This window comes from Homo sapiens, chromosome 7, assembly GCF_000001405.40.
Source record: "Homo sapiens chromosome 7, GRCh38.p14 Primary Assembly".
Taxonomy (NCBI): Eukaryota; Metazoa; Chordata; class Mammalia; order Primates; family Hominidae; genus Homo; species Homo sapiens.
The window spans coordinates 147,894,983-147,918,699 of record NC_000007.14 but is presented as its reverse complement, the minus strand read 5'-3'; the positions used below and the strand labels follow the sequence as shown (position 1 = coordinate 147,918,699).

The window sequence follows — 23,717 nt, the reverse complement described above, 5'->3', positions numbered from 1 at the left end:
CTGTTTGTTTTTTTCCTCCTCTAGTCCTGATGAAAAAAGGTAGTAATTGATTTCACCTTAATACCGGGCATTAAATTAGCCTAAGACAACTAGCATGCTTCCAAAAAAATTAATAAAGTCATTATACATCACATTTAGTAATGTAGGATGTGCATGTAATATACTTGTATACACGTGTCAGTGTCTATGTGAGTATGGACATACATATTAGTACACACCCATTATCTTTTTAAAAACTGACTTGGATGATTTACCTCACTATTGAATATAAAGTAACTTTCCAATTTTTGCTATGTGAACTAAAACCATCTACAAAGCCTAAAGCAGAGATGAGTGTATGTCTATGTGGGTTTATGACTCAATGCAAAAAGAAAGTTTATAAATACATACAAAAAACCGGATTCTCTAAAGTGCTACACATTTGGCTTACATTGCAAATAGATGTTGACTAGCTGCTAAGTGACAGGCATGAATGACTTATAATACACATGAGGTATGGTGCTTGACCTCCTGAAGCTTGTAATTTGAGAGAGAACTCAGATACCCAGGCATCTAATTGCAGATAAGAGAGAAAATAACTTTAAAATAAGTGTAATTTGCTTTGAGACCCTCAGGAAGCAGGCCTTTTATGCATGGACTTTTGCTAGACATGAGGGGTGTGGGCAAAGGCAGGGAGGTTTCCTTGGGAAGCAGCACTGGCGCTGGTTCTGCAGAAGTAGATGATGTTGAAAACGCAGATATGTGAAGAGTTATTTTAGGTGTAGGTAAAGGACCAGCGATGAGAAAATACAAATATCCTTACAATGGCCCCAGTGTGAGTGAGGTAAAGCAGAGAATGCAAGGTGAGGAGGGACTCCAGAACTGCAGGAGTCTGGACTTTATTCTGGAGATCACAGGGACCTACTGTAGGTGTGAACAGGAGACTAGCAGGGCCCCTTTGAAGAATTAACACTTCCGACAGAGGCTCTTAGTTGCCCCTTAATGCTCATTTTCCTCTTCTTCCTTGGTAACAGAATGCTCATTTTTAGGAAGGCATATTCATGCCCAGTTAAAGGCTACAGAACCCAGCCATCTTTGCTGCTAGTCGTGGTTAACTAAAGTTCCAGCCAATGATACGTAAATGGAAGTGGTATGTAAAGTCATTCTTGGAAGGAAAAGGCATGCTCTCTTTCCTCTCTTTTCTACCTTCTGCCTGGAATGGAAGCATAATGGCTGGAGCTCTAGAAGCCATGTTGGATCCTGAGGAGGATGTCAAATCTGAATAACACCAGAACAGAGAGCTGGAAGGAGCCTGGACTTCCTTTACATGCATGGGAACTAACTTTCATCTTGTTTAAGCACTCTTGTTTAGTTATTTTTCTGTTATATGCAGCTTAACCTAGCCCTATATCAATGGTTTTTAACCTTGGCTACACATTAGAAACCTCAGGAAATTGCAAAATCAAAGATGGCCAAAAATAATCTCCAGAGACTTTGATTTAATTAGTCTGAGGCAGGGCCTAATGATAAGTAATAGTTTAAGTTTTCCAGGTGATTCTAATGTGAAGCCAGTGATGGCCACAGTTATAGACAGAGTTGTAGGATAAGAGAGTTTTAAGGCTGGAAGTTATTTTGGAAGATTGTTGCAATACCATTGCTTAGATTTAGAACTAGGAGAAAGGCCATGGTCACAGATGGTCAGGTGTCTGTGAAAGGCCCAGGGGAGACAGAATCCATGTATGGAAAATGGTGAACAACTGATAATACATAAGGCAATGGGGTTTTACACGTGGGAAACTACAAGTGAGCGAGCATCATTAATATCAAGAGGGGGTAATGGGAGGAGATGGCTGGCCTGGTAGGGAGGGTGTGAGGGTGAACTTTCAGTGGGACACAGAATAAATAAACAGATAGGTCCACAATTATAACGTGTTTTACAATTGCTGCGTCTGCACTTTTCTTTAGATCCCATGACATCTCTTTTAATTTGATCTTTTTTTTTCCATGATTGATTTTTTGGGCAGAATGCATTTTTTTTTTTTTCAGAAAACATAACAGCTCTCCCTCTTTTTCAAGCAAGTGGAGAGAAATACTAATGGGAAATACACTGTATTTTTTTTTTTTTTTTTCAGAAAAAAAGCTCTTTTGAATCTTAGTTCTGCTTTTCTCAAAATGACTAAATAATCTATTTTGTTTAAGTCCATTTAACATTTTGTTGGTAGGCTATATCTATTTCTAGTACCCACAGCACACTCTGAACATTTGACAGGATCACACCTGATTAATCGCTCTCTTTGCTGTCATCAATATTATTTGGGGGCAGTGGCCAAACCGTATTGACACTCTGCTGACATCTTCTCCGGTGCCCAATTACCCTTCTGTCATGATACAATCCATGAGGTGACAGGAGGATTCTATGCTGTGCCAAGTGGGTTGGCACCAAAATGTCCCTGAGACAGTATATAATACATCATTTTTATGCTTCTTTGGGGAACTGGGAGAGACAGGACATTTCCCCTTCCCCATTGCCAATAACAGGTGTTTCACTCACAGGGCTGCAGAAACACAGTGGCTTTCCAGGTAGCTTTGCAATTTGAGCTATCTGGAACCTGCCTGGATGAGCCTCCTGAAGTTTTTTAGTTCATCCCCAAGGTAAATTCCTAACGAAAGAGGGCAGAAGCCCTTGCCTGAGGCTCTTAACCCTGACCCACATATTAAAAAGTAGTTAAGCTCCTAAAAGAGTTGAGCTGTTAGACGCTCTAGGAATCTCCTGTTAAGAGGCAACTTCAGCATAGCTCAAATCTGCCAAGTAAACCACAGTGGAGTCAGTATAAGGAGTAACGTACACGGGATGGTGTAACCCTTTTGAAAACTGCTCTGGCCATGCTCTAATACTGAAACACATGCTTTGGGGCTAAATAGGACTAAAATTAAGAGTTTCCTTTTTTTTCTTCTTCTTCACCCCCGCCCGCCACCCAGATCACTGGTAAAGCAATATCTTTTTTTTTTTTTTTTAAACAAAGCTTAACTGAATGAAAATGAACAAAGCTTAACTTAATGAAAATGGCCTTCATGAGATCAGGAGGGCATCTCCGTTTATGTATCTAGAAAGAAAATATATTGATAGCTGTCCATTTTAACATTTTATTTTATACACACACACACAGACAAGCACATGCACACACATTTATTTGAATATCAACAATCTTTCTGGTCAGTTTAGCAACTGGTGTCATAACTGATACCAGTACTCCTCATAATATCATATTCCTATAATATGCACGAATAAGACCACTGAGTATTGGGATGTCAAGTGATTGTTCCCCAGAAGGATTCCAAAAGATTTAAGAGCACAAACATGAGTTCCACAGAACTCAGATCAATGAAAAAACTATTTTGTTTTGCATGTGGTTACAGGGCTAATGGTATGAATATTCTCAGTTTCACGGCGCCCGCTGAGCGGAGGAATCCTCCAGCTTGCTGAGAAATTCCTTCCAATATTGGGGCCAGGAGAGCCAGTAAGATGCTTTGTTTGGTTTTGTTGTTGATGATGTGAAAATTAGTCTTTGATCTGATTTTTCTTAAAATAAGAATTTAGTATTGTTTTATTATGTACTGGGATGCTGGCTAGGATTCTTATTTTTTATTTTAATTTCTAAACTATTTTTAAATACTTAAATTGATCAGGTTAAATGTGTTCATGGCAAAAAATTCAAAGAGCTTATAAGATGTACAATGGGACAAGCCAGGTCCTCCATAAAGTCCTACATCCTTAATCTATTGCGTTGTAATTGTTTCTTTTGTAGATTTTCTAGAAATTATGTATGCATGTATAAAGGTTATGGATTATACACATTAGAGAAATGCCAGGCTGGGCACAGTGGCTCACAACTGTAATCCCAGTATTTTGGGAGGCCAAGGCAGGCAGATTGCTTGAGCCCAGGAATTCGAGACCAGCCTGGGCAAAATGGCAAGACCCCCATCTCTACAAAAAATACAAAAAATTAGCTAGATGTGGTGGTTTGTGCCTATAGTCCCAGCTGAAGTGGGAGGATCACCTGAGCCTGGGGAGGTCGAGGTTGCAGTGAGCCAAGATCATGTCACTGTATTTCAGCTGGGGCAACACAGTGAGACCCTTCTCAAAAATAATTTTTTTTCTTTCTTTTTTTTTTTTTTTGGTTAGATGGAGTTTCGCTCTTGTCACCCAAGCTGGAATGCAGTGATGCGATCTTGGCTCACTGCAACCTCTGCCTCCTGGGTTCAAGTGATTCTCCTGTCTCAGCCTCCCGAGTGGCTGGGATTACAGGTATGTGCCACTATGCCTGACTAATTTTGTATTTTTAGTAGACATAGGGTTTCACCATGTTGGCCAGGCTAGTCTCAAACCCCTGACCTCAGGTGATCTGCCCACCTTGGCCTCCCAAAATGCTGGGATCACAGGCGTGAGCCACCACGACCAGCCTAAATAATTTTTTTTTTAAAAAAGAAACACCAGACTCGTATTATACCTGCTATTTGTCAACTTGCTTTTTTCACTTTCATCTTGGCCATCTTTCTGTGCAAGTGTTTATGTATCTACTTCATTCCTTGGCCAGCCTTATAACATCATTTTCTGAAACTCTATTCATGGACATTTCTGCTGTCTACAGGTTATTTTTTTTTTTTGACTGCTACAAAAAATGGTATATGCCACCTTAGAACATATATTTTTTTTAAGATGGTACATGCCATATGGTGAAGGATTCAGTCAAAGAATGTAGTGTTCAAGTTTTGATGGCAATTCCCAAATAGCCCTCAAAAAAGTAACCTCAGTCATACATTCCTACCCAGTTGTACTAAAGGTTATGTTTCCAGTCCCATTGCCACTGACAGGACAAAGAATGATGCTCAGCTTGCTTGGGTCCCCTGATTCTCACATCATCTCTGGAGACACGCTCTTTTCATCTCCACTGTAGATAAGAGAAAACTGAGGCACAGGCAGGTCTTACTAACTGGCTGAGTGTTGGAGGAGGAACATAAACGTAGATGGTCTGACTCTATAGCCAGGCTCCTAGCTGCCATCGTGCAGTACCTTCTGTCTCGTATTAAGGTTTCTGTTTTCCAGACTGATGTTAGAAACCTTTTTTAAAACCTATGAAACAGAAATTCTTTTTAAATATCCATTGTCCATGTTTCTTTATCTTTCCTTCATTGAACTGCCTGTTGTTGGGCCCTAAAAATCTGAAGCTGTAAAAACCATTTGTGTTTGTTTGTCTAAGGTGGGAGCAGGTGGAATGGAAGCAGTGGTTATAAAGTGATTTCCAGTGTTGTCACTGAGGGTAAAATCTCTATTTCCTGAGAGATCACTTTTGTGGCTTTTCATCTGTGGACATGCCTGGCAAGTACTTCCATATTGCTCCTGAATTTGGGGGCAGGAATTAAAATGGAATATTCCTTGCGAAGTGATTTTTCTGTTGAATACTGTAAATTTAGCAGGACCTTGTGCCAGCAGTATGAGAGATGCTCCTTCCTCCCCCAATAAATCTGGATTTAAACTGGCTTATCCCTGGAAGCTCCTTTTTATCCTTTGGACATGTGTTACATTTTTGTCTTGGCTTTTTCTCCCATGAAATCATAGAAGGAGGAGCTTGCTGACTTTACCTTCTCTTCTCTTTATGAGGAGACATCATGAAATAAAACTTGACTGATATTGTCACTGCACACATTGCATTAGACTGTTGTCCTACAGGAGGCGTCCCTGAAGACTGGAATCTTAGCTTGGAGAAATGCACTCAACAAACCCAGGTCCCAGAACAGACCACAGCGATGCTCCCGTTCAGGCCAGGTGATTGACGCACACCTTTGTGGCTTAAGCTGGGAATTTCCTCCTTAAGGGATTTAATTATTGCACTATCAATCAGCCTGAGAAGCAAATGTTCCTCCTGTAGGAACTGAGGTAGGGCTTGGGATGAAGAAGAACTTCTTCTTCCTCTGGGGCTTGGAGGAGGTTTGGCTTGGATCCAAATGCCTGAGGAGCCTCATTAATGAAAGCAGGGTTGAGACCCATAGGAGGCTTCGCTGGGAGCTTGGCAGGGTCTCAGGGGCTGGGCTCCTGCCTGGATTTGAAGAGTGGCTATTTCAGGAAGCAGTTGCAAGTTTCTCTCAGTGTAAAATTTCTGTTAGCTCCAATCCTTGTCAAGTCTTGCTGAAAGCCATAGCTTCGTTTCCACTGCACTGAGGTTGAGTAGGGGGCCCTCTCCATCTCTCCATAAGGGCATCAGTGACTGTCACAGGCTGAGACAGCTGCAGCTGGCAGAGTAAGGATCTCAGGAGGGCAGTGTCAGCAGCAGGGTGGCAGCAAGGCATGCAGGCAAGGAGGTCAGAACAGAGGGGCCCAATGAGTTGTTTTTGAATACTGAAGAGGCTGCTCCTGGGGAACCCATGAGCTAACCCTTATCTGTGTGTGCTTGGGTGTAATTGGAATCAATATTTCTTGAGCATTTACTAGTGAAATATGGATGTGCCTTCTCCCTTATGAGTATCCTCTCATTTAAACTCCCTTTCTACCATGTGAGGTAGCTGTGAGTGCCATTTAAATGCTGTGGTTAAGGAAACAGTCATTGACAGCTTTTATAACTTGCTGAAGGTCACTGAACTAGCAAGCAATAGGACTAGGATTTGAAATCAGGTCACATTCAGAAAATAATTTGAATGTATTTGTCATAATGAATACTTTTAATATAAAATTAAAATAAGAGATTTTTAGAAACCAAATCAGGAGCACTACAGAGGTGAGTAAAAGTAGACGTTAAAAAGAAATTGTACCACCGTGCTCGTAGCAGCGTTATTCACAGTCACTAAAATGTGGAAATAAAAGTGTCCCTTGGCAAATGAATGAAGAAGCAAAATGTATTCTACCCACACAATGGAATATTATTCCATCTTAAAAAGGGGGAAAATCCTGATACATGCTACAAAATAGGCAAAACTTAAGGACATTATACTAAGTGAAATATGCCAACTGCAAAAAGACAAATACTATATGATTCACTCACATGAGGTTCTTAGAGCAGTCAAAATCACAGAGACAGAAAATAGAACGATGGTGGTGTGAAATCAAATAATTCAAACTTAAAATGGTTGGAACTTTACATTATTTTGAGCCTTGAGAGAAATGTGGTTATGTGGCCTGAGTTATGCCACGTGCAGCTGCAACTTCTGCTTCTCTGATTATAGATTAAATCTCTTCCTCATTTCTGTCCTGTAAATGATTAGAAAAGACCAAATGGTTCCAGAAATAAGACCCCTCGAGACCATTACCCCTCCTTATGGAATGTTAAAGCAATCTTCCTTGGAACATAGCAAACTGTAACCAATCAAATGACCGTAACATCTGTGCTGGCCTTATATGGCAAATGTTGCAACCCTGTTAACCTTCTCTATTTCTGCCTATGTAAGTGAAACCTTAACTTTCCCACTTTGGAAAGCTGACCCCATTCACTTGGAGTTGGTGTTTCCCTGGTGGCTATCCTCAGGCTTTGAGCTGGAATAAACTCTATATTTAATCACATTTTCTGAACTCATTATTTAAGGTTAACTGGCCAGGGGCTAGGAGGAGAGGGAAATGGGGAATTACTGTTCAATGGGTATAGCGTTTCAGTTTTGCTAGATAAAAACGGCTCTGGAGATGGATGATGGTGATGATTGCACAACAAAATGAATGCATTTAATACCATTGAATTGTAAAAGTAAAAATGGTTAAGATAGTTCATTTTATGTGTATTTACCATAATAAAAATTGGAAAAAAAATGAAATTGTGCTGTATATAGTACACAGGTGAAAAATTTATACAGAACTTACATCTTTGATATGGTTTGGCTGTGTTCCCACCCAAATCTCACCCAGAGGTGTAATAATCCCCACATGTTAAGGGCGGGACCAGGTGGAGATAATTGAATCATGGGGGTGGTATCCCCCATACTGTTCTCCTGGTAGGGACTAAGTCTCATGAGATCTGATGGTTTTATAAATGGGAGTTCTCCTGCACAAGTTCTCTTGCCTGCAGCCATGTAAGACGTGGCTTTACTTTTCCCTCTGCCTTCTGCCATGATTGTGAGGCCTCCCCATCCATGTGGAACTGTGAGTCCAATAAGCTTCTTTCCTTTATAAATTACCCAGTCTCGGGTGTCTCTTCACTAGCAGCATGAGAACAGGCTAATACAGTCTTGGTGTGTAATTCCTAAGGATGAGTCTAAAGTTGCTTGCCCCGAGTTTGAATCTCTGCTCTACTGCTTTTTAACTATATGACCTTGTGGGAGAAATTAATCTCTCTGGAGCATTTCTAAAATAAAGACAAAATATGTAGTACCTTTGGCATAGAGTCAATGAGATGTTTAAATGACACAGTATATGAAACATACATGAACAGTGGCTGACATGTAACTACTATTATTTAAACAACATGACGAATGAGAATGCATATATAAATATTTCACTTTGAGTAAGAGGCAGTCTAAAACTTCATGAAAAAAGTCACTAAGATTCAATCAAATTTCTTATAAACAAGGACAAAAAATTATAACGATTATTTTTAAAAATATTCAGAATTAGGTGTTGGATAGTAAGCTGACCCAACCAAATAAATATGTTTCTGGCTTTGAAATATCGAAGATATTTTTTAGTTAACTCCCCTCAGCTGCTATAAAAGTTGGTCATGGATTATTTTTGGCCCAGGAAGAAAAAGGCTGTTAGACAAGCCAATTCCATTTAGGGTCAGCGAAAGAGAGCACAACGGCTAGTATTTGGCCTTTCTAATGTTGAGGTGGGAACTGCTGACTAATTGTAACACAAAGACTGTGCTAACGGCTTTTCACTTCACTTATTTTCCACCATGTATGTGCCCATCTTGGCCAGGACATAACTATCCAGAAATTCTACAATAAGAGAAGGGTACTCACGCAATGAATGGCAATTCTTTCCCTGATAATTTCATTTTCGAATTGCTAATTTCAGATATGGTGATTTAGCTCATTGAGTCAGGCTGCAAGAGACCAGGAATTACCCAGCAGTGGCCACTTAGCTGAGACCAAGACTCGTGTAATTAGAATTCTGGCACTGTAGGTGGGAATATTTACTATTGCTGTGAATAGTAAATCATAAATGTTAAATTACATTCAATCTCAGAAATAACTGCGCAAAACTTCTCCCAGCATAGATAATCAGGCAATTATTGAAATGGTGATCGTACTCACAGGCCATTGCAGCTTCGTTGTGAGACCCAATCATGCTCTGAGCTGCAATCTCATTTATCCTGGCTCCATTTTTATGCATTTTACACCAGTAAATAAGAATAAGTATTCAATCTAAGTTTTAGAGTTCTTAGAAAAAGAACATATAATGTGGTCTGTGGTTTAAGCTTTAAATTTAAAGCTTACATATAAGCTAGTTAAAAATTACATTCTGAAATCATTAAAAAGATAGATAAAAACAATATTAAAAAAACTTCCTTGATCCTGATATTGTGGAAGAACACTGGCCTGGGTGTTTGGAGATGTGTGTCTTTGGTCTTCTTTCTACTCCTCATTTCTACTGTAATTTTTTGAAAGTAATTTACATTTTTCAGGGCCCCAATTTATGCATCTGTAATTTAAGACATTTTAAAATAATTTTTAGCTAAGGTTCCATTCAACATTCAAATAATAATAAAAATAATATATCACACTGTAATTTTAAACTTTCATTTATGACAGCAATTTACCAAGATCCTTACATGACTTGGGAAGTACTATACTATCTATTTCTATTTTGCTGATAAGAAAACAAAGATGTGAAATATCCTGACTTAGATCACACAGAAAGGAAGTGGCACGGGTACTTTGTCCTCATTTTGGTCTTAGTTCATCTTAATCCAATGATGCTTTGTGATTCAGATTATTGAAAATAGCTTTCTTAACTGGACAAAGCATCTAAAAGCATGAGATTTAATAGAACCTTTATTTTTACCCTGACATTACAACAAACGTGGTTTAACATATGTGAGTTTCATTTGGATGTATGTGCTACATTTTTATTTCCCATAATCTCCCAGCCCTTCTCTGTGTTTGGAGAAACAAAAAAACTGAACAGCAATGATCGTGACAGTGCACTCCAGGTTGCCTGGACAGTGTTCCTCACTTCTCCTAGTTAGAGAGACTACACCCAAAGTCAGCTTCAAGAAGGGGCTCTGGCTTCCTCCCTGTTCCTGGAGGGGCTCTGACTCCCAGACAACACTTGTAAACAGCAGGCACCTATGCCCAGACTGCCTGGTGCCCCATGCATCTGATTTTCCCCTACTGACAAAGTTGCTGTCATTTTTGCTTTGTGAGAAGTGAGAGAAGCAGGGGCTTCCTGGTAACGAATGCCCTTGGTGCATTCAGCGGAATAGCCTGGCTTTCGCACGTCTCCCTGAGGGATGATGGGATTGGAGACCTGTACTTGCTCTTCTGATGATGATCCCTGATTTATAACTTTCTCTAGTAAAGCCTGTTTCATAACATCTGCATGTGGCGTTGTGGAATTAGACTTGAGGCCTACGACACAGCAGGTCAAGAGCATGAAGGGGCCTACTTGCCACGCTCTGTTTTCATTTATTTTCATTTAAGAGTCAATTGGAATCATTAAGAATTGTGATAAGGGCCAGTTGTGGTGGCTCATGCCTGTAATCCTAACACTTTGGGAGGCTGAGGTGGATGGATCACTTGAGGTCAGGAGTTCAAGGCCAGCCTGGTGAAACCCCATCTCTACTAAAAATACAAAAAAAAAAAAATTAGCTAGGCATGGTGATGCGTGCCTGTAATCCCAGCTACTTGGGAGGCTGAGCCATGAGACTGGGGGCAGAGGTTGCGGTGAGCCTAGATCACACTACTGTACCTCAGCCTGGTTGACAGAGTGACTCTGTGTCAAAATAAATAAATAAAGAAAATAAATTTTAAAATAATGCAATAGAATTGCAAATAACTATCCCATATAGTATAATTTATAGAAGGCTTTTATATTCTATATTCTTAATGATCACAAAAATTTGCCAAGATTTATTTTTATTATACAGATAATAAATTAAATTTCAGAGAGGTTAAAAGCCTCCCCCAAAAGTGGCAAATCTGGGCCTGGATGTAAGGTCTACCCGCATCAAGCTCAACTTTCTCTTCACTGCCCCTGAGAGCTTTAGAAAGTGTCTCTAGAAGCAACCCCATCCACTCCCAAATATCTAAAGCATCCACATAGGAAGGAGGGCCTTTGCTAGGTGCTGGTGAATTCAAAGACCAAGAAGATTTCTCCAAGAGCATTCTTTCTTGTGCTAAAAAGGGAAGACCATTTTAAGAGCTATTTATTATAAAAAACATTCATGGCTGGGCGCGATGGCTCAAGCCTGTAATCCCAGCACTTTGGGAGGCCGAGGTGGGCAGATCACGAGGTCAGGAGATCGAGACTATCCTGGCTAACATGGTGAAACCCCGTCTCTACTAAAAATACAAAAAATAAGCCAGGCGTGGTGGTGGGCGCCTGTAGTCCCAGCTACTCGGGAGGCTGAGGCAGGAAAATGGTGTGAACCCGGGAGGCAGAGCTTGCAGTGAGCTGAGATCATGCCACTGCACTCCAGCCTGGGTGACAGAGCAAGACTCCGTCTCTTAAAAAAAAAAATATTCATTATACTTTTCAGTTTGCTCAAGCTATAGTGCCTTTATTATGAAATATTAGACAAACTTTACGGAAGCAAAGGAGTGGGATGTCTTAGCTGCTGCTAAGCCAGAAGAGAACAAGACACCAGCAGTGACCAAGTCCCTGAGTAACTGTGAAATGTTAGAACTCAATTGAAGCTTGCCAGAGGAGGAGGTCTGGGAATAAGGGTGGAATGGAATGTCTTCTAATCTGTGATCTGAATTCAGACATGTTCTTTGAAATGGCTTCAGAGGCTAATATATATCTTTAAAAATCAATCTTGTGACTGGGCGCCGTGGCTCACGCCTATAATCCCAGCACTTTGGGAGGCCGAGGCAGGTAGATCACTTGATGTCAGGAGTTCAAGACCAGCCTGGCCAACATGGTGAAATCACAACTCTACTAAAAATACAAAAATTAGCTGGGCATGGTGGTGGGCACCTGTAGTCCCAGCTACTTGGGAGGCTGAAGCAGGAGAATCACTGAGATTGCGCCACTGCACTCCAGCCCAGGCAACAGAGCAAGACCTTGTCTCAAAAAAAAAAATAAAAAATAAAAAAAATAAAGATCTATCTTGGCCAGGCATGGTGGCTCATGGTTGTAATCCTAGCACTGTGGGAGGCTGAGGGTGGATCACTTGAGGTCAGGAGTTCAAGACCAGTCTGGTCAACATGGTGAAACCCCGTCTGTACTAAAAATACAAAAATTAGCTGGGCATGGTGGCAGGTGCCAGCAGAGGCAGGAGAATTGCTTGAACCGGGGAGGCAGAGGTTTCAGTGGGCCGAGGTTTTGCCACTGTACTCCATCCTGGGTGACAGAGTGAGACCCCATCTCAAAAAAAAAATCTATGTTTTCAACCTGTAATTCTACTAATGGTAGCCCTCAGGGTTTAGACACAGATGTCATGCTAGGGCCTTAATGTTTTCAAAACTGTCAACTGCACAGACAGTTCCCCAGCCTGGCCCAGCTCCGTCATGCTTCTTCTCCAAGACCACCATGCAAGGGCGAGTGTCCCAGGGCCCTTGCTTTTCCTTGTCTTTCAAGTTTATGCCTCTTCCTCCAAGACGTTATGGATTCCTTCCTTCACTCCTCCAGTTAGATTGAAAATTTCTTCCATCAGTTTTTTTTTGTTTGTTTGTTTGTTTGTTTTTTGAGATGGAGTTTCACTCTTGTTACCCAGGCTGGAGTGCAGTGGCACGATCTGGGATCTTGGCTCACTGCAAGCTCCGCCTCCTGGGTTCAAGCGATTCTCCTGCCTCAGCCTCCCGAGTATCTGCAATTACAGGCACCCACCACCATGCCCGGCTAATTTTTTCTATGTTTAGTAGAGACGGGGTTTTGCCTTGTTGGGCAGGCTGGTCTCGAACTCCTGACCTCAGGTGATCTGCTGGCCTCGGCCTCCCAAAGTGCTGGGATTATAGGCGTGAGCCACTACGCCCCGCCACTTTCATTAGTTTTTGTTGTATCTTGCACACACCTTCCTCACAACACTGACTGTATTATGTTATCTATTTGTGTGTGCACATGTGTGTTTCCTTCAACTAGTTTTGGAGCTCCTGAGGACAAATACCATGTTCCATTCATCACTGTATCCCTAGAACTTAGCATGATGTCTGATAAAAATGAAGTTCACTTAGGTGCAGGTACTAGATCTTACTCTTTCTGAATCCCTCTTCTCTCCTCTGTGGTGGGACAAGGTGATGGTGGCAGGGCACTCTGGGCTGCCTGGACAATGAACCAGCTGGGGCTCTGTTCCCACTTCTCCTAGTTGGGGAGGCTGAACCCAATGTCAGCTTCCTGAAGAGGTAGGGAATTAATGTTGGATAGACAAATGGATGGGAGAAGGTCTGCCTGGCTTAAGAACACACAACTAGTAATAAAAGGCATCAAGAACAAGAATGTGAGTCAGGACAGGGATTCTTGTTCTTTGCATTTGGTATTTTATCCCCAGTGCCTAGAAGAGTTGCTGACTCATAAGTATTTGATCAATATTTGTTGAATGAATGACTGATTGGATGATTCACTGAATGAATGATTGAACGAATGAATAAAAGGTTAATTTCAAAGACCATGCCCTTTTAACTCCATTCCCAACTTCCAATCTTTGTATACAGTGTGTGTGTGTGTGTGTGTGTGTGTGTGTAGATACATCTTTCAAAGAAATAAAATTAAAAATTATCATGATCTCTTCTTTACAATAATCCATAATTAAAGATTAATGATAGCTATTTACAAGTATTTTACACACATATACACACACATTCTAAGCCATTGAAATAGATAGGCTTTGTAATTTGTTATATTTACTAGAAGAAATATAACTTTCAGAAAGTAAGCAGACATCCTACCTGAAATTCATATAAAGTTACGTTCTCAGAATTTGTTTTTGGTTAACTGGTGGAATGAATTTGTCTTGTAAACTGTCCCTGTAAATAGCATACTACATAGGTGAACTGAAGAAAACCATGGCTGGGCATATGGGGAAATTCATGACCATGACTGGCTATGTGCACAGCTGCCCAGAAGCAGAAATGGAGCCTCTCAACACTTCTAAAAATGTAGAAAGCCGGCACTGGATATGTGCTTCTGCAAAGAATCACACTTAGGTTTATAGTCTTCCACCTAAACTTCTGGGGCCTTTTTCACAAAGAATGGCAGCTGATCTTATCTTTATCTGTTACTGACACAGACCCAGCTATTCACTGCGGGGCAGAACAAAAGCCAGCAAAGGGATCGAAGAAACCCAAAATAGATCTTTCTTGAACTGATTTGTATCAGAGTTATAAACAATTCCAGGTATGAAAGAAAAGTAGACAGGCAAGCACTTACAGAAGACAAGAGCAAAGAATGATTTTTTCTGTTTCTTTGTTTTTTCCCTTCTCTCTCTCTCTCTCCTATTTTTCCAATCCAGATCCCCAACGCAAACATTGCAGGAGGTGGTTGTGCTCCCCGCAGGAGGCTGTTGACTGCCTGCACTCATGCACACTGGCTTCCCGCCCCCAGCCATCCCTCTATTGTTACACAGCACATTTTATAATGCAAATCACTGTCTACAACATGGCTCATTATTTTCCTCTCTGAATAAAATATGAACACATCAATTATGTCTCAGTTTCTAAATGCATACCCTTGTCGCACTGACCTCTTTCTGCTTTTATATTTTTCAGTATGTTCCTGACATTTGTCAGTTGGGTTAGTTCCAGACCTTTCTACCCTATTATCGTATTATTATAGCACTTTTCAAACTTTCTTCTATCACATGAGTTTGACACAAAGGCACACTGGGAGGGTGAGCCTGGCTGTGCTGCCCGCAGGCACTCACCATTGCTTGTAGTCCGCGTCGCAGTTACAGTAGTACTTGGGATCTGTGCAGTTGCGTTCGATGCCGCAGGCACATTTCTGGATTCCAGGCCCAGAGCCTCCCCAGTAGTAGTGCTTCTCGTTGGCTTTGCCAACCCACCAAGTGTAAGGGCTTCCATCTACAAGAAAAGGCAAAGGTATATTTAGAAACAGACCTGGGTTCAGTCATTAGACTGCCACACTTACACCCACTTCCCCAGGAATACTCTGATAGTCTGAACATCACTCAACCCTCTTAAAAGTCAATTTATTTCAAACAGACAACCCACAGAGTGGGAGAAAATCTTCACAGTCTATCTATCTGACAAAGGACTAATATCCAGAATCTACAACAAACTCAAATGAATTAACAAGAAAAAACAATCCCATCAAAAAGTGGGCTAAGGCTATGAATAGAAAATCCTCAAAATAAGATATACAAAAGGCCAACAAACATATGAAAAAATGCTCAGCATCCCTAATGATCAGGGAAATGCAAATCAAAACCAAAATGCAATACTACCTTATTCCCACAAGAATGCCCATAATCAAAAAATCAAAAAATAATATATGTTGGTGTGAATGTGGTGAAAGGGGAACACTTCTACACTGCTGGTGGGAATGCGAACTAGTACAACCACTATGGAAAACAGCGTGGAGATTCCTTAAAGAACTAAAAGTAGAACTACCACTTGATCCAGCAGTCCCACAAATGGATATCTACCCAGAGGAAAAGAAGTCATTATACGAAAAAGATACTTGCACACATGTGTTTATAGCAGCACAATTCACCATTGCAAAAATGTGGAAGCAACCTAAATGCCCATCAGTCAATGAATGGATAAATAAACTGTTTCTCATACACACACACACACACACACACACACACATACACACACACACACACACACACACACACACACACAAACATATATGATGGAATACTACTCAGCCATAAAAAGAAATGAATTAATGGCATTTGCAGCAACCTGGATGGGACTGAAGACTATTATTCTAAGTGAAGTAACTCAGGAATGGAAAACCAAATATTGTATATTCTCACTCATAAGTGGGAGCTAAGCTATGAGGATGCAAAGGCAGAAGAATGATACAAGGACTTTGGGGACTCAGGGTGAAAGGGTGGGAAGGGGGTGAGGGATAAAAGATGACAAATTGGATTCAGTGTATACTTCTTGGGTGATGGGTGCACCAAAATCTCATAAATCACCACTAAAGAACTTACTCATGCAACCAAATACTACCTGTTACCCAAAAACCTACAGAAATAAATTTGTTTTTTTTAAAAAAGCTTTTAATTCTATACTTCAAAAGGCTCTTTTAAGCTTAGACGAGTTTTCAAAAGTATATATCACAATTTTACATGTATATAAATATAAACATAAGCATAAAGGTAAATTTATGTCAATAGTAGAAATATTTGATAAAAAATATCAGTGGGAGTGTTAAGCTTAAGATTTCTCATGGGAATATGTACCTCTCTCCTTGGAAGACAATTTTACATTCAAACTTCTGTGATTTAGGAGTCTATTTAGTAAACTGGAAGCCAAGTTGCGGTCAGTCCGCAATGAAGGTGTATGGGCCATGAACTGATTCTACACCATACAATTCTCGTGACTGGTCATGCTTTTTTGTGAACTAAGTCATGGAGATCATAGAATATTGGAGCTAAGCACAAACTTTCACTGTTTTTGAGTATGACCTCCTAATTTTATGGGTAAAGAAATTTAGGTCTAGAAGAGTTAAGTAGTTCTTTTAACCACACAGCAGATTAGCCCCCAACTCTCCTTTATCATTTGGCCTAATAGTCACTCATTCATTCATTCATCCAATCATCAAACATCCACTGGGTTCCCACAATGTGCCAAACATTAGAAGCAACTCAACAGAATGGAAGAAAAAGATACAGATTGGAGAACAGTTTTATCAGTATTATGAACACAGAGGAGAGTGGGGGAGGCAAATGAGGTCATAAAGGAAGGTCTCCCAGAGGAGGCAAAATAGTTGAGCTGCATCTTGAAGGTCAAGTATGCATTACACAGATCAATAAGGACATAAGAGAGGTAAGACCTCCTAGGCAAATGGAGCAGAATGTAAAAAGACAGAAAGGTAAACTTCTATTTGGAAAATATGTATAGGACTATATTCATATGTAGTAGAATTGGGCTGAAGAGATGTGCTGAGAGGAGCAGTAGTAGATAGTAAGAGATAGATGGACAGCAGATGAAGGTCACATTGCAAAATACCTTTGTCCAAGTAAGAAGTTATTTTTCATTGGTTTATCCTTTCTTTTCAATGTTTATCTTCCCCCAATTTAAGACGTTTGAACTTTATCCTGAAAATAATGGGAAACTAGTAAAGGATTTTAAGCAGGGAACTAGCATGATTAAATTTGTGTTTCAAAAGATCAACAGGAAGATGAAAGATAGATTTCTGCAAAATGGATTCAGGGAGGCTAGATGTGATGCTCTTATGTTAATAGAGAAAAGAAGTAATAAAATAGTAGTAGAAATGGAGGAGAAGAGAAAACACACACAAAAAAGGTTCAGGAGTTATAGCTGGCTGGGACTGTTGGGATTTAGGTAGAAGAGAAGATGGGCAGGGAGTGCTGTGGATTAATCCAGGCTTCTGGTTTGTATGAATGGGGATGGTACTATGCTCCATGAAGGTAGGGCACAGGGAAGGAAGATCATCATCAAAAGTCTAGGGAATGTTGAAGAAAAGATAATGGGTTTGCTCACAAAATGTACAAATTGATTGTAGAAGTCTGGTTCTCAGGAGGATTTTCTGAGCTGAAAATATGTTTTAGGAACTATCAGGGCAAACCAGAACATATTGGAAGTGGGAGAAATGCTGCTGGAATCTTTTAGATTACAACATCATTTCAAAAACGGAATGATTTCATAGCTGGCCACAGTGGCAGGCGCCTCTAGTCCCAGTTACTTGGGAGGCTGAGGCAGGAGAATTGCTTGAATGTGGGAGGTGCAAGTTGCAGTGAGCAGAGATTGCACCACTGTACCCTAGCTTGGGAGACAGAGCGAGACTCTGTCTCAAAAACAAAACAAAACAAAACAAACAAAAAACCCACCAAAACCCAAGAATGATTTCACACTACTATAAAGAATGATCCAAGACTGGGTCTTTAACCATTTATAAAGAAAAGAGGTTTGACTGACTCACAATTTTGTGTGGCTGAGGAGGCCTCAGAAAACTTACAATCATGGCAGACGAAGAAGGGTAAGCAAGGCACGTCTTCTCATGGGGGCAGGAGAGAGAGAAAGCAAGAAGGGGGAAGTGCCAGGCAATTATCAAACAACCAGATCTTGTGAGAACTTCCTCACTATCATGAGAACAGCATGGGGGAATAGCCCTCATGATCCAGTCACCTCCCACCAAGTCCCCCCCTTGACACATGGGGTTACAATTCAGATTACAATTCAATATGAGATTTGGGTGGGGACACAGCCAAACCGTACCAGAGATGGAGATGACCATAGCAGAGTGCAAGAACGAAGGCAGCCAGGGTGATGGGAGAAAAACACAGGAGGATTTCCCAGAGAGCAGAGGGGCCAGCACCATCAGATTTCATAGTGAAGTCTATTAAGATGGGGAACTAAGAGTTTTCTTTTAATTTGACAGCTGGAAGGTCACTAGAGATTTTGATGAAAGGAGTTTCAGGTGAATGGCGGGAAGAAAAGCCTAGACGTGGTAGGCAGTGGAAAGAATGGAAGCAGAGAGCAGGAAGACCCTGACAATGGATGACTCTTTCTTTCTTTCTTTCTTTTTTTTTTTTTGAGATGGAGTCTGGCTCTGTCGTGCAGGCTGGAGTGCAGTAGTGCAGTGGCACGATCTCGGCTCACTGTAACCGCTGCCTCCCAGGTTCAAAGGATTCTCCTGCTTCAGCCTCCCAAGTAGCTGGGATTACAGGCATGCACCACCACACCCAGCTAATTTTTGTATTTTTAGTGGAGATAGGGTTTTACCATGTTGGCCAGGCTGGTCTCGAACTCCTGACCTCAGGTGATCCACCCGCCTTGGCCTCTCAAAGTGCGAAGATTACAGGTGGGAGCCAACCCGTCTGACTGGATGACTCTTTCTTATTCTTAATATGACTTTAGCATATGAGAATGCACTTAATGTTAAATCCACTCTCTTGACAACTTTTAAAGTGTCCAATGTAGCATTAATGATATGGTGTTGTATGGCTGATTTCTAGAACTTACTTTTATTGTTTAACTGAAGCTTTTATGCCCACTGATTAGCAACTGCCTACTTCCCCGTCTTCCCAGCCCCTGGTGACCTCTTTGTTTCTATGATTTGACTACTTTATATTTTATTTATTTTTTTAAGACAGGGTCTCACTCTGTCACCCAGGCTGGAGTGCAGTGGAGCAATCATAACTCACTGCAGCCTTGACCTCCTGGACTCAAGCCATCCTCCCACCTCAGCCTCCTGAGTAGCTGGAACTACAGGCACATGCCACCACACTTGGCTAATTTTTGTATTTTTTGCAGAGAAAGGGTTTTGCCATGTTGCCTAGGCTGGTCTCCAACTTTTGGGCTCAAGTGATTCACCTGCTTCTGCCTCTCAAAGTGCTGGGATGAAAGGCCTGAGTGACCACATTCAGCTGGATTTGACTACTTTAGATATCTCATATAAGCAGAGTCATATAATATTTGTGTATACATACAATGGAATATTATTCAGACCTAAAAAAGACATTTTGCAATATGTGACAACATGGATGAACCTTGAGAACATTATGCTAAGAGAACAGAGGTTCCTTGCCAGAAGCTGGGGAATGAGTGGAATCTAACAGAGGTAATGTCAGCCAGTAAGCCAAAATAGCCAGTCAATTAAAATCTCTGGGGCTGGACGTGGTGGCTCACACCTGTAATCCCAGCACTTTGGGAGGCTGAGGTGGGCAGATCACAAGGTCAGGAGTTCAAGATCAGCCTGGCCAAGATGGTGAAACCCCGTCTCTACTAAAACTACAAAAATTAGCCAGGCTCAGTGGCAGGTGCCTGTAATCCCAGCTACTTGGGAGGCTGAGGCAGGAGAATCACTAGAACCTCGGTGGCAGAGGTTGCAGTGGGCCAAGATTACGCCATTGCACTCCAACCTGATAGAGTGAGACTCTGTCTCAAAAAAAAAGAAAAAAAAATCTGGGTATATGGGTTAAAATTCCATGGTAATAACTCATCCACCCTCTTGGGATGTTAAGTGTACACTTGACTCTATGAGTGCTCAGAAATAAAGGTGAGGAAAATCATAAAGTTACCATGTGAACAGTCACAATATCTAAACAAACAATACAAAAAGTAGGGACCATATTGGAATTATGCAAAAAAATACTGTGGTACTTTCTCAGATATTCCAGTAGTTTTCCTCAAGAATAATTTTGTTAACAGGTGGGTGATTTAAAGTTGAGAATGAACAGGGACTGGAGTCCAGGATGAATGTAATGAATGAGCAAGCCCTCTGAATTTGAAAATGAGTTAGTTATTCAGGTATTCTCTCCCTCCAAACAAATTTCTTGATTTTTCTGTGTGTTGACTTAATTTGGAAGTTATTATTTTCCCTTGGCATGACCATTTTTGGCACCCACATTAAAGAAAGTATATTTGACTTAATCTGGTAAACAGTCAAGAGGGAGAGCTCAGTACCCTGTTCCAAAGGGAGAAACATGCCCGCTTTCTGACATAAAGGTCCACCCTGAAGCTGTGTCTTCTGTCCACCTGTGCCTGGTCCCAGCATGCGGGGGCTGTGTTTGCTTTCTATGTTTAAGTCATTTGCTTCTCCTTTCTTTTTCCATCAGGGTAAGTGGTAAAGCATCCAGCTTCTCTGATGCTTCCCATGGCCAATAATAAATTTTTCTCCTTATGAAGTCTAGAGTTTCAAAAATAAGCGTTGAAATATCCCATTTATGGAAACCACAGCATCTCAACCACCGAAAGAAATGTTAAGGTCATTTGGCCCAAAAGCTACACTAGGTCTTGGCTGATTCCATCTCTGGCCATGTTATAGAGAGAGGACAAAGGTAGATGGTTCCATTTTGACCTCATGAAATGCCTTTGAGGCTGGGCAGGCCACAGCCTGACCCTGAAAATATAGAAACATTACCAAAACTGATTATCATATTCATTTTTTGCATTGCATTCAAAAAGCTGACCTCATGCTAAATTCTCTCAAAGGAATTTTTGGTTAGTATCACTGTTTTTGGAAACTAGAGGACACTAACACTCTTGGTGGAGGAGAAGAAACAAATCGGGCACCTGTAAAAGTGGAGTTAAAGGTTTGTCTAGCAGATGACTCCTTTGTCCTGCCCATACCTCAAATAACCAATGAAAGATTATATATCTCAGAATCTCTGCCCAATTTATGATTGTTCCTTTGAGTGATCAGTAGAAACAACCTAACACTGTGTTTCATTTTCATTGCAGACAGTAATAATTTGCATGAATCAGAGAGCTGTGTGTGGCCCAGTATTCTTTGTAAAAATTAGGACATTCTCAGTAAAAGGAGAAGATAACAATCAGCTTTACCTTCAGAATGAGACTACAAGGAACATACTCTAGGGGAAAAGAAGAGAGACAGCTGGTTCCCACTGTACCTTCAGAGAGTGCTCAGAAGCCCAGGAAAGGAAGTTTCATTGTTGAATTGTTTGGGCAGTGGTGAAGCCGCCTGTGCAAAATTATGACTGAGACAGTGAAAGAGATCTAACTTAATCGACTCCATCTTGCTTCTAACCTCCTTGCTGTCCTTATTCATTCCTGGGTGTAGGCGGAACTAACTTTGGGAGAAACTTACAGTTTATAGTTTAAAACAAGGATGATAATAGCCCTTTCCCACAGCAGACCTCCTTCTTGCCTGGTGACTAGATTGCCTTTGTAGGACTAACATTAGCCGCAAGATTAGAAATTATAGTTAAGAGTCATGCAGCTGGAGGCTACAAGATTCTGACCCTCCCTAAACTTCTCCTAAAATCAGTGCTTGAGATATTCTGCAGACCCTGCACTTGATGGGTCAGCTGGCACCACCCAGATCAATAAACTGGCTCATCTGATCTGGTGCCTCCCATCCAGGAACTGACTGTGCAAGAAGACAGCTTCGACTCCCTGTGGTTTCATTCCTGACCAATCAGCACTCCTGGCTCACTGGCTTCCCCCCGACCCGCCAAGTTGTCCTTAAAAACTCTGATCCCCAAATGCTTGGGGAGACTGATTTGAGTAATAATAAAACTCTGGTCTCCTGCACAGCTGGCTCTGCGTGAGTTACTCTCTCTATTGCAACTCCCCTGTCTTGATGAATCGACTCTGTCTAGGCAGCGGGCAAGGTGAACTCCTTGGGCGGTTACGGTGGGTGTTCCAGTAGAAGCCCTGAGCTGTGCATGGGATCCAGGCTGTGTGCTAATCTCATATGGCAGACCCTCAGCTTACAGTAGAGAGGGACTCTTATTACACAACAGGATGGGACCTAAGGGGATGATCTGAAATATTTCCTCCATGTGCAAGGAGTACAGGTGCAAGGAGGTGGCAAGTTAGTGACCTGGCAAGAGCAGCCTGGTTTCCCAGCTTCTTCTCCCATCCCTCACTCTTTCTCAAGTCACAATACTTTAGTCTTCATATAACGAATGCCCCCAGTGAGGCTGATGCAAAATTGATGTTGTTCTGTTCTTTTTCCTAGGAAAATAAGTTAAAATACAGCACAAAATGCTTAACTTAGCTCTTTCCACATCTACTGCAAAAGAATGCCAATAAGAAAAACGTATTCCAGAGAGAAAGGAAATTGTAGACTTTGTTATTAGCATTGGCTAATTTGGTTAAATCACTGTAACTAAAATAAATTATTAATTTGTTGTGTATTTTATATTCAGCAAGAGGAGAACGGTTCAATTTATTTTGAGCAAAGAATTCCCTTATTCCAGTGCTATGCTAATGAAATGCTACTTTTAGCTTTACAAATCATTATTTACCTGTTAATTGGCTTTGGGGAATAGCAGTTAAAGGCAATAAAAATGGAAAGCTTTTTTAAAAGACAAGGGCAAAAAGTGGTGAGGAAAGAAATAACTGAATTATCTATTTCCAAGAGTTCAAGAACTTCTCTAACCTCAGAATATGAAGATTGTATTTAACTATATTAAGTAGCTATGGTCACTGCAACAAGGTTAGGTAATGATGAATGGCATTCTAAGTTAACTAGAGCTAAATTATCAAAGTAAGGCATATTGTATTAAAACAGCCAAATATGAAATGAATTAAATATAATCACTATACTGTTTGTACTCACTTCAGATCAAGTTTTATTATGGTGAAGGGTTTATTATGGTGTGGATGATTAAACTGGGAAAGGGAGAAAGAAAATAGGCTAGAAAGGAAAGGAGTTTTCCAAGACTTACTTAAAAAAACCAATAAGCTGGGCGCGGTGGCTCACGCCTGTAGTCCCAACACTTTAGGAGGCCGAGGTGGGAGGATCACCTGAGGTCAGGGGTTCAAAATCAGCCTGGCCAACATGATGAAACCCCGTTTCTACTAAAAATACAAAAATTAGCCAGCTGTGGTGGTGTGCACCTGTAATCCCAGCTACTCAGGAGGCTGATGAGGCAGGGGAATCACTTGAACCCAGGAGGTGGAGTTTGCAGTGAGCTGAGATTGTGCCACTGCACTCCAGCCTGGGCGACAGAGTAAGACTCTGTCTCAAAAAA

General features: G+C 41.0%; 1 protein-coding gene across 1 annotated transcript in view, besides 2 other annotated features; it reads right to left on the bottom strand.

The window, feature by feature from the left end:
• CNTNAP2 (contactin associated protein 2) overlaps positions 1 to 23,717 on the bottom strand; it is a 2,304,198-nt gene that overhangs the window by 502,299 nt on the left and 1,778,182 nt on the right. The window contains exon 14 of the mRNA NM_014141.6: positions 14,979 to 15,135. Within this exon, the coding sequence (NP_054860.1) occupies positions 14,979 to 15,135 (157 nt within the window). The remainder of the gene's footprint in view (positions 1 to 14,978; positions 15,136 to 23,717) is intronic.
• Positions 9,739 to 10,239: an enhancer, noted in NCBI's record as "H3K27ac hESC enhancer chr7:147605553-147606053 (GRCh37/hg19 assembly coordinates)". NCBI's record gives its function as "activates a minimal SCP1, AML or CMV promoter by ChIP-STARR-seq in primed H9 embryonic stem cells {active_cell/tissue: H9 hESC(primed)}" and the evidence as "EXISTENCE:reporter gene assay evidence [ECO:0000049][PMID:30033119]".
• Positions 10,240 to 10,740: an enhancer, noted in NCBI's record as "H3K27ac hESC enhancer chr7:147605052-147605552 (GRCh37/hg19 assembly coordinates)". NCBI's record gives its function as "activates a minimal SCP1, AML or CMV promoter by ChIP-STARR-seq in primed H9 embryonic stem cells {active_cell/tissue: H9 hESC(primed)}" and the evidence as "EXISTENCE:reporter gene assay evidence [ECO:0000049][PMID:30033119]".